This window comes from Homo sapiens, chromosome X (genome assembly GCF_000001405.40).
Source record: "Homo sapiens chromosome X, GRCh38.p14 Primary Assembly".
Classification (NCBI taxonomy): Eukaryota; Metazoa; Chordata; class Mammalia; order Primates; family Hominidae; genus Homo; species Homo sapiens.
Window position 1 is genome coordinate 55657017 of NC_000023.11, and position 12359 is coordinate 55669375.

Below are 12359 nucleotides of genomic sequence, written 5' to 3' on the forward strand. Positions count from 1 at the left end.
TTCACACTGCAAACAGAATACTGTGAATTGGTAAATGCACTTGAAAGGACAGCTGTATTTGACCACTTCCATGACCAAATGTTAACTTGTCATTTTTTAAAAGTTTGTAAATACTTTCGAACTAAGTCTCAGGGTAAGTGTAAGTATGTGTGCCTTCCAAATGCTCGCAAAGTCACTTAAGTTGGTCAAGCTAGCTGAGCAATGTCTCATAGCTCCTGGCAAAAGACATAGGATATTTCCGATGAGGTTTGGTTTCACAACTGAACTCTCCTCCGTGGAGGCATTTAGGAAAATACAGCCAGAGAATTAAAACTGCAGTGACCACGACTTTTGTCACCCACCCATTTGCTAGGCCCGTTTCCCCCCTAAAATCAAGTTTTGTTGGAACGCAGAGCCCCACCCATTCAAATCTCCACAGTGGAGTTGAGAAGTTGCCACACAGCACTGGGCCCTCCTCACTGTACACCTCTGCCAGGCGTTCTACAGACCTCAGGGCCATGGTCACCAACCCGCAGTGTTCCCAGTTCCCTTCCTTAATGCCCACCCCGCTCCTTCCTGGGTCGCCACGGAGGAGTCTGGAATCTGTCCTCTGTCGAGGGTTTCAGGGACTCAGATACCTGCCCCAGCACCCCCAGCACTCACCCCATCTTCATCTGACCCCTCTCAACTACTCGGTCCACCTTCTTCCCTCGTTCTGACCCTACCACAACAAGGCCCACAGCGGTGCCACCTCACGAGAAGAAGGACGAGCACTTTGAGACCCTTCGGCCTCTGAGGCCACGTACCACCCTGCCCCACACTCAGGACGGCCGCTGGCTCCTCCTCACACTCACTCACACTTCAAGCCCTGGGAGGACTGGCCTGTGGACCTACCGGCTGCGTCTCAGCAGGACAGAAAAAGTCCCGACAGCAGGAACGCGATCCTCAAGCCTTCACAGCTCCCTGGCGTTCACCACATGGGCAAAGGGGCCGAGGGGAAGACGCCCAGTGGACATGCGCAGTGAGGTCGGTGCCTGCCTGGTGGGCTGTGGCACCCCTCCTCGCCCCACCCCATCCCGCACCGCGCAGTCCTCTGCCTTCTCCCAGGTTTCCGCTGAAGAGTATGGAATGTGTCTTCTGTGGGCGGTTTCATATGCCTCCGGGACTCAAATACCACAAATAGTTTCCCCCTTCAAAACTCACTCCATGTTCACTAGGTCCTCCTCCCCTCTATGGCCCTCCTTCCTCCCCTGTCTGGGACCCCCACGACAGCAAGGCCAAGGCTGTGTCACCACCTGTTAGGAGAAGGACAGGAACCTCAAGGACCTCCCCGTCGGAGGCCATAGACCGCGCCGCGGGCTCCTCCTCACAGTCTCTCCCACTTCAACTCTGGGAAGACTGATCTTCGGACTTACTGGCTGACTCCTAGTCAGCAGCACAGAAGGAAGTCATGATGTCTCCTTGCACAGCTCTGCAGGGACAGAAGGCAGACAGCAAGGCACATGGACAAGGGACTTGGGCAGCAAGGGATGTGCACACTGAGTCAGGCACATGCAAGGCCACCCGGGGTTTTCCCTCTCTCCCCAGGCTCGCATCCCTAAGGTGTTTGTAGTAGAAGGAAAGGGACTAAGAGGCTTTGTTCTCTCTCTTGCCCTACCATTCTCATGCATCCAGAAACACTGGGAACAGACAGTCCCATGTCACCATTAGTGGAGGATGTGGCTCAGAAAGACCTTTTGTGACAGAAATAAATTACTTTAATATCTCTATTTATACATTCTTTTTTCTCATTTATATATGCATGGGTGCCTGCCATGTTGCAGGAAATATCTGGGATGCTGGAAATGTGAAGACCAAGGAACCACACGTGGTATGTTCCATGGAGGCTACCACACTGTGGTGGGGAAGACAGACAGTTAAACTGAAGAGCAGTTGAACTGCAAAGGAGAAACATGGGGAACAGACCCAGGGGAGTAAAGAACAATGAATGTAGTGGCCAAGAAGCAGGGCGAAACAACACAATTTCTCAAGAAGATAATATTTCTCCATTGCCTTTGCACCTTTTTTGAAAATGAGTTTATCATGTCTGTGAACCTATTGCTGGACTCCATTCTGATCTGTTGATTTTTCCCCAGTACCACATTCTCTGGATTACTATAGAATTAGCATGACTCTTGATATTAGGTAGTGTGAGTTCCCCAAAGTTATAGTTCAGAATCGTTTTGGCTGTTCTGGTTCCTTTTCCTTTCTATGTAATTTTGAAAAATGACTCCAATGAAGTGGGTTGTATAAATTCATGCAGTTTCCCTTTGAAGGGCAGCAGATAAATGTGTTAGTGGCTACAGGAGGACATGGGGGAAGAAGGTGAGTTCCCCCTTAGCTTGGGGAATTATCCCATTTAGAGGGAGCAGTTGGTGGTTCAGGAGAGAGGAATGATCATTGTAGGAACAAAGCCCCTGAGAAGGTGAGAGGCATGGGATCCTGAGCTGAGGTGAGGGGCTGGCATCAGTTAGGAGCATTTGTATGCAGAAAGGCGGTGGAGAATGCCAGGGCAAGCATGGGCAAACTGGGTTTGGGAAGCTCTAAGAGTTCCCAGCAGATCGCTTCTCTCCTCTGAATGAATCATTATAGGAGGTCATTCAAATGAAGGAGAGTTTGTAGCATTGTGTGGGTGTTTATATAACTATAGAGAAAGTTTCTGTCATCTCAGAGAATACATCCATCATCATGAACAGAATATTCCTAGAAATATGAATGTTGAAGGTGCTTCTGGTGAGCACTCAGACAGGAATGGGGAACACGTTATTGGAAACATGTGGACACATAGTCCTTGTAAGAAAGTAGCAGAGAATTTGGCTAGAATGCATTCTCTTAGATGCAAATTAGAACTTGTAAGTGATGAAATTGTATATGTAGCTAAGAACATTTCTAAGCAAAGTATTGAAGTTGTGGCCTGGTTTCTCCTTGCTGCTGGTTGCAAAATGCAAGGGAGGAGAAATAAATCAACGACAGAACTGCTGAGCAAAAAGGAATCAGCCCTTGATTATTTAGAAGATTCTCAGCCTATCCAGATAGCAAGCTCTGGAAATAGGGCCAAGGGTGTAGTGGGACAACTGATTGCTAAAGAGATGAGGTATGTGAGTCATGGATCCAGTCAACCATCTCAGCAGAATGCAGAGAAGGAGATGCATTTATCCAGGGAAGATCTGTGGAGGACTCAGGGTCTGTTGGCATGGATGCCACGAATTACATCAGAGGCCAACATGTTTTGAGGATTTTATACCAAAAGAAGCACAGCCAGCCTGGAATAAAAGAAACAGAAATGGGACAAAATAAAGGAAGAGTGACTTTGAGAGGAGAGCTACAGATGCAGAGGCTGGCAAGCTGCCACTGCCTCTGTAGGCCCAGAGAGCAGCGACCTGGGGAACAGGAATACAGACACTTCCTCCTGAGCTCCAGATGGCAGAGCCACCTCCTCGATTTCAGGGAACAGGGCTTCTGCCCAGGGTCGAGGGAGCAGGGCTAACACTCAGGTCCAAGAAGGCAGAGATGCCACCACACTAGGCCCAGAGGACACAGCATCAAGCCAAAGAGGACCATTCTGAAGCCTTAAAAATCTCATGGAATTTGCCCTGCTAGGTTTCAGACTTGCTTGTTCCCCACGACTCCTTTTCTTCTTCCATCTTCTCCATTTTGGAATGGGAATGTTTCTCCTATGCCTGCACCTTCATGCTGTTTGGAAGCAGATAATGTCTTGTCTGGTTTCACAAGTTCACAGATGGAAAAAATTTTGTCCTAGGATACAACATACTCTGAATCTCACCGTTTCCTGATTTTGATGATATTTGAATGAGATTTGAGATTTAGAGTTGATGCTAGAAAGAATTTCGAGGATGTTGAGATGAAGTGAATGCATTTTAGATGTGAAAGGACATGAATTTTGAGGTGCCAGATCATGGATTTTTACATGTTAAATTATATCCCCTTCAGAAATTTATTCTTGCATAAAACATAGATACTGTACTGTTCCAGACCACAATAAACAAGTCACACACATTTTTTGGTTTCCTAGTGCATATAAACGTGATGTTTATAGTATGTTCTCACTCATAAGTGGGAACTAAGCTATGTGGATGCAAAGGCATAAGAATGATACAATGGACTTTGAGGACTCAGGGGAAAGGGTGGGATGGGGGGTGAAGGATAAAGGACTACAAATTGGGTTCAGTGTATACTGCTCGGGTGATGGCTGCACCAAAATCTCACAAATCACCACTAGAGATCTTACTCATATAACCAAATAACACCTGTTCCCCAAAAACCTATTGAAATAAAATATTTTTAAAATAATAAAAAAATAAAATAAAAGTGAAGTTTACACTACCCTATAGTCTGTTAACTGTGCAATAGTACTATGTCAAAAAAAGTACAATGTATCAAGCTTTCTGTATATGTTTGCTACCTTAATCGGAAAATACTGTATTGCTAAAACATGCTAAAGACCATCTGAGCCTGAAGCCTGAGTTGTAACTTTTGGGCTGGTAGAGGGTCTTGCCTGGATGTACATGGCTGCTGACTGACTAGGGTGCTGGTTGTTGAAAGTTGGGTGGCTGTGTCAATTTATTTTCTTTTTTATTTACTTTTTAACAAGCTAATACTACATGGAAGGCTGTGGCAATTTCTTAAAATAAGACAACAATGAAATTTCCTCCATTGATGGACTCTTCCTTTCACGAAAGATTTCTCCATAACAGACAATGCTGCTTGATAGCATTTTACCTAAAGTAGAACTCCTTTATAAATTGGAGTCAGATCTCTCAAATCCTGCCATTACCTAATCAACTCATCCTTTGCTGTCATTTCCACGGTGTTCACAGCATCTTCACTGGGAGTAGATTTCATCGCAAGAAACTATTCTCTTCATTCATCCATAAGAAGCAACTCCTCACAGGTTAAAGTTTTATCATGAGATGGCAGCAGTTGAATCACCTCTTCACGCTCCACCCTTGTTCTCTTGCTGTTTCCACCATGTCGGCAGGTACTTCATCCACTGGAGCCATGAACCCCTCAAAACCACCCATGAGGGAATACACGGTCTGCTGTCGTTATGAGGAGTTTTCTTTACGTGTCACTTAGATCCAAATAGTCCATGGTACCATTCAGTTCATCTATATGTTGCTGACTTTTTTCCATTGGTTCTGTCTGATTTGATTATGTATTTTAAAGCTTTGTAGTTGAGTTCTGTGCAAAAAAGAGGTAATATAGCAGGTCTGAAACTACTATCCTTAGAAAGGCTAGCTTGCAAGACTGGCCCTTGCCTGGCATCTGTGAACTTGATTTTGGGATGTTTCCCACCATTATCCATCTGATAAGAGTGGTTTACTCATCCGAAACTGTTTGTTCAAGAAGTATGTTTTATGCTGAACACCAGATTCCCTTCTGAGTATCTGAAATGTTGTTGCCTGTTAGGCAGAGAGTGCCTTTGTGACAAGTCCCTAGTAAAAACCTGGGGCACTGAGTTTCTAATGAGCTTCCCTGGTAGATAACATTTTACGCATGTTGTCATGATTCATTGCTGGAGAGACAAATTGTGTGACTCCATTGGGAAGGGACTCTTGGCAGCTTTTGCTGGTTCCCACCAGACTTTGCCCAGTGGCCTTTCCCCATTACTGATTTAGCTCAGTATTCTTTTGCTGTAATAAGTCTTAGTCATGAGCACACCTATACATTGGGTCCTCATAGACAATCACTGGAAGTGAGGGTGGTCTTGGGGATCCCTGACACACTGGCAGCAACAGTGTGATTCACCAGCAAGACCCTGACTCACTAAAATATGTTGAAAGACTTCTTTGAATAAAGAATGAAGAAGCAGACATGACGAAGCTGTAACACCTGGGAGACTGTGGATTTGCCCATAATAGGAAGCAGCAGCCGAGCTCTTTTGTCTGTTGTGAAAAATACATGTACTCACAGCATTTCACAGTAATCCCTCCAATGGCAAGAGAGTTGGCCCACTGGATCCCTGCACCGCTGTTCTATGCTGAATAATGCAGTGGCGAGGAGGGGGTGGGGGAGGTGCAGCCAGGTGCTGCCTTTGGCTTTTGTTTTCTCCTTCAGGCAGAAGGAGAAAGTACTAGAATGTTGCCAAAGCTGAATTTTGAGTAGGCAAAAATCCTGAAAGTTTGATTCCTCTTTCCTCCAAGTGGAAGAGAAAAAATCAGTTTTCTGGGCTGGAGCAAGGACTTAGATAAAGGAAAAAAGGGGAGGGGGCAAACAGGCCAGGTGCAGTGGCTCACACCTGTAATCCCAGCACTTTGGGAGTCTGAAGCAGGACAATCACTTGAAGCCAGGAGTTTGAGACCAGCGTGGACAACATAGCGAGACCTCACATCTACAAAATTTTAAAAATTAGTTTAGCAAATGGTGGCATGCATATGTAGTCCCAGCTACTGGGGAGGCTGAGGCAGGAGGATCACTGGACCACAGAAGGTAGAGGCTGCAGTGAGCTGTTATAATGCCACTACACTCCAATCTGGGTGAGGCAGCAAGACTTTGTCTCAAAAAAATAAATTCATTGGTAACCTAGTAAAAGACCAATGATACGAATATTTTCTGAGCTAAGTCATGAGAAGATGGTATCAATTTATTCAGTTCCAGAGTCAGAGGAAATGGACAATAGGGAAAGAGAGTGGAGTGTGGAGGGGAGGTGAAGGTGTGCGGGGCAGGGAGAGAGGTCTGGGGCAGACAGGGTTGAGGAATAATGGGGAAGAGCAGAAAGCAGAAGTTCAGAGATCTGATAATAGAAGTTCACACTTCTGGATACTTACTCTAAGCCATATGTTTTAGCTCACTTTCTTTCTCTCTCTCTCTCTCTCTCTCCGTTTATGTGTGTATATATATACTATATTTTAAAATTATATATATATGTATATATAATAACAGTCAGTTAGTGCTCACAGCAACACTGTCAGGTGTGTGTTACTAATGTTATCATCTCTCGTTATGGAATAGGAAACAGAGACACGTTAAGAGACTAAGGAACTTGCCCAAAGTCACCTCGCCAGCAAGGGCAGAGTCAGATTGGTACCCAGGCTGGAGAGGGGTGTACAGACACATGCAATCCGACCCTGACACTCTAAAATGCGCTGCAGTGTGGAATGGTCCTCCAGATCACAAGACAGGTGAAAGTGTCCAGCAGCATTTATGATATGACATTATCTGCTTGTGGATTGAACATGAGGTCTCTTGACTGTGTTTGATAATACAGGGTGATGAGTCAATACCAGGAAAGCACAAAGGCAGTATCTGGTCCATATTAAGCTTTCTGTATGTGTTTGCTACCATGGATGTTAGCAGCAACATCCCTGTCACTGTCATTATGGGAAATAGCTTTGGTATAATATTAAACAAAACAACAGATGCAGTTTTTTATTATTATTTTATTTTAAGTTCTGGGATACATGTGCAGAACGTGCAGTTTTGTTACATACGTATACACATGCCATGGTGGTTTGCTGCACCTATCAGCCCGTCATCTACATTAGGTATTTCTCCTAATGCTATCCCTCCCCTAACCCCCGACCTCCCGACAGGTCCCAGTGTCTGATGTTCCTCTCCCCGTGTCCATGTGTTCTCCTTGTTCAACTCCCACTTATGAGTGAGAACATGCAGTGATTGATTTGCTGTTCCTGACTTAGTTTGCTGAGAATGATGGTCTCCACCTTCATCCATGTCCCTGCAAAGGACATGAACTCATCTTTTTTGTGGCTGCATAGTATTCCATGGTGTATATGTGCCCCATTTTCTTTATCCAGTCTATCATTGATGGGCATTTGGGTTGGTTCCAAGTCTTTGCTATTGTGAACAGTGCCGCAATAAACATCTGTGTGCATATGTCTTTATGGTAGAATGATTTATAACCCTTTGAGTATATACCCAGTAATGGGATTGCTGGCGCAAATGACATTTCTGATTCTAGATCCTTGAGGAATCACCACACTGTCTTCCACAATGGTTGAAATAATTTACACTCCCTCCAACAGTATAAAAGCGTTCCTATTTCTCCACATCCTCTCCAGAATCTGTTGTTTCCTGACTTTTTAATGATCGCCATTCTAACTGGCATGAGATGGTATCTCATTGTGGTTTTGATTTGCATTTCTCTAATGACCAGTGATCACGAGCGTTTTTTCATATGTTTGTTGGCTGCATAAATGTCTTCTTTTGAGAAGTGTCTGTTTATGTCTTTTGCCCACATTTTGATGGGGTTGTTTGTCTTTTTCTTGTAAATTTGTTTAAGTTCTTTGTAGATTCTGGATAATAGTCCTTTGTCAGATGGATAGATTACAAAAATTTTCTCCCATTCTCTAGGTTGCCTGTTCACTCTGATGATGGTTTCATTTGATGTGCAGAAGCTCTTTAGTTTAATTAGATCCCATTTGTCAATTTTGGCTTTTGTTGCCATTGCTTTTAGTGTTTTAGTCATGAAGTCTTTGCCCATGCCTATGTCCTTAATGGTATTGCCTAGGTTTTATTCTAGGGTTTTTATGGTTTTAGGTCTTACATTTAAGTCTTTAATCCATCTTGAGTTAATTTTTGTATAAGGTGTAAGGAAGGGATCCAGTTTCAGTTTTCTGCATATGGCTAGCCAGTTTTCCCAACACCATTTATTAAATAGGGAATCCTATCCCCATGGCTTGTTTTTGTCAGGTGTGTCAAAGATCAGATCGTTGTAGATGTGTGGCATTATTTCTGAGGCCTCTGTTCTGTTCCATTGGTCTATATAGCTCTTTTGGTACCAGTACCATGCTGTTTTGGTTACTGTAGCCTTGTGGTATAGTTTGAAGTCAGATAGTGTGATGCCTCCAGATTTGTTCTTTTTGCTTAGGATTGTCTTGGCTATACAGGCTGTTTTTTTGGTTCCATATGAAATTTAAAGTAGTTTTTTCTAATTCTGTGAGGAAAGTCAATGGTAACTTGATGGGGATAACATTGAATCTATAAATTACTTTGGGCAGTATGGCCATTTTCACCATATTGATTCTTCCTATCCATGACCATGGAATGTTTTTCCATTTGTTTGTATCCTTTCTTGTTTCCTTGAGCAGTGGTTTGTAGTCCTCCTTGAAAAGGTCCTTCACATCCCACGTAAGTTGTATTCCTGGGTATTTTATTCTCTTTGTAGCCATTGGGAATGAGAGTTCACTCATTATTTGGCTCTCTGGTTGTCTATTGTTAGTGCATAGGAATGTTTGTAATTTTTCCACATTGATTTTGTATCCTGAGATTTTGCTGAAGTTGCTTGTCAGCTTAAGGAGATTTTGGGCTGAGACCATAGGGTTTTCTAAATATACAATCATGTCATCTGCAAACAGAGACAATTTGACTTCCTCCCCTTTTATTTGAATACCCTTTATTTCTTTCTCTTGCCTGATTGCCCTGGCCAGAACTTCCAACATTATGTTGAATAGGAGTGGTGAGAGAGGGTATCTTTGTCTTGTGCCAGAATAAAACCGATTTCTTTGAGAAATTGCCAAGCTGCTTTCCACAATGGCTGAACTAATTTACATTCCCACCAGCAGTGTATAAGCAAGCATTCCCTTTTCTCTGCAACCTGGTCAGCATCTGTTATTTTTTTACTTTTATTATAGCCATTCTGACTGGTGTGAGATGGTATCTTAATGTGATTTTCGTTTGCACTTCTCTGAATGATTAGTGATGTGCATTTTTTCATTTGTTGGCTGTATGAATGTCTTCTTTTTAAAAGTGTCTATTCGCGTCCTTTGCCCAGTTTTAAAGGGTTGTTTGTTTTTCACTTGTAAATTTATTTAAGTTCCTTATAGATTCTGGATAGTACACCTTTGTCAGGTGCATCGTTTGCAAATATTTTCTCCCATTCTTTAGGTTGTCTGCCTCTTGATTATTTCTTTTATTGTGCAGAAGCTCTTTAGTGCAATTAGATTCCACTTGTCAACTTGTGTTTTTGTTGAAATTGCTTTTGGACTCTTCATCATTTAATAAAGTTTCAGGATACAAAATCAGTGTACAAAAATTAGTAGCATTTCTATACACCAATAATGTCCAAGCTGAAAGCCAAATCAAAATACAATTCCATTCACAATAGCCACAAAAAATCATAGGAATACAGCTAATCAGGGAGGTGAAATATCTCTAAAACAAAAATTACAAAACACAGCTGAAGGAAATCAGAGATGACATAAACAAATGGAAGAACATTCCGTGTTCATTGGTAGGAGTATCAGTATTGTTAAAATGGCCATAATACCCAAAGTAATTTACAAATTCAATGCAATCCTATCAAACTACCAATTACATTTTTTACAGAATTAGAACAAAGTATTCTAAAATTCTTATGGAACCAAAACAGAGTTGGAATAGCCAAAGCAATCCCAAGCAAAAAGAACAAAGCTGGAGGCATCACACTACCTCAATTCAAACTATACTACAAGGATACAGTAACCAAAACAGCATGGTACTGGTACAAAAACAGACACATGGGCCAATAGAACAAGTTATGGAGCCCAGAAATAAAGTCACACACCTACAACCATCTAATCTTCAACAAAGCTGACAATGACAAGCAATGAGGACAGTACTCCTTATTCAATAAATGATGTTGGGATAACTGGCTAGCCATATGCAGAAGATTGAAACTGGACCCTTCTTGACACCATATGCAAAAATCAACTCAAGGTGGACTAAATACTTAAATATGAAACCTAAAACTATGAAAATCCTAGAAGAAAACCTGGGAAATGTCATTCTCAATAAAGGACCTGGCAAAGATTTCATGACAAAGTTTGGATTTCTTTTTCAGACAGTTTGCTATTCCAGTGTAGACACAGTACTAATTTTTGTACATTGATGTTGTCTCTTGCAAATTTCTAAATACACTGATTAATTCTAATAGTTTTTTGGTGGCGTCTTTACAGTGTTCTATGTATATGATAATATTATCTACAAATAGGAATTATTGGACTTCTTCCTTTTTAATTTAAATGCCTTATATTTCCTCTTCTTACCTAAATGCTCTGGCTAGAACATACAGTACTATGCTCAATCAAGTGATGAAAATGGGTATCCTTTTCTTGTTCCAAATCTCAGAGAAAAAGTTTCAATTTTTTCCCATTCAGTATGGTGTTAGCTGTAAGTGTGTCATATATGGCCTTTATGGTATTGAGGTATGTTTCTACTATACCTAGTTTCTTAGGGTTTTTATCATGAAGATATGTTGAACTTTAATGCTTTTCAGCATCTTGAAATGATGTCATCATTTTTGTCCTTGCTTCTGTTAATGTGATATATCACATTTATTGATTTTCTTTTTTATATATACTTTAGGTTCTGGGTTACATGTGCAGAACGTGCAGTTTTGTTATACTGGTATACATGTGCCATGGTGGTCTGCTGCACCCATCATCCCATCACCTACATTAGGTATATCTCCTAAAGTCATCCCTCACCTAGCCTCCCACCCCCCACAGGCCCCAGTGTGTGATGTTCCCCTCCTTGTGTCTGTGTGTTCTTACTGCTCAACTCCCACTTATGAGTGAGAACATGCAGTGTTTGGTTTTCTGATCTTGTGATAATTTGCTGAGAATGATGGTTTCCAGCTTAATCCATGCCCCTGCAAAGGACGTGAACTCATCCTTTCTTATGGCTGCATAGTATTCCATAGTGTATATATGCCAAAATTTCTTTATCCAGTCTATCATTAATGGGCATTTGGGTTGGTTCCAACTCTTTGCTATTGTAAATAGTGCCACAATAAACATATGTGTACAAGTGTTTTTATCATAGAATGATTTATAATCCTTTGGGTATATGCCAAGTAATGGAATTGCTGGGTCAAATGGTATTTCTAGCTCTAGATCGCTGAGGAATCACCACATGGTCTTCAACAATGGTTGAACTAATTTACACTCCCACCAACACTGTAAAAGCATTCCTATTTTTCCACAACCTCTCCAGCATCTGTGGTTTCCTGACTTTTTAATGATCACCATTCTAACTGGTGTGAGATGGTATCTCATTGTGGTTTTAATTTGCATTTCTCTAATGACTAGTGATGATGAGCATTTTTTCATATGTCTGTTGCCTGAATAAATGTCTTCTTTTGAGAAGTGTCTGTTCATATATTTTGCCCATTTTTTATGGGGTTGTTTGCTTTTTTCTTGTAAATTTGTTTAAGTTCCTTGTAGATTCTGGCTATTAGCCCTTTGTCAGAAAGATAGATTGTAAAATTTTCTCCCATTCTGTAGGTTTCCTGTTCACTCTGATGATAGTTTATTTTGCTGTGCAGAAGCTCTTTAGTTTAATTAGATCTCATTTGTCTATTTTGGCTTTTGTTGCCATTGCTT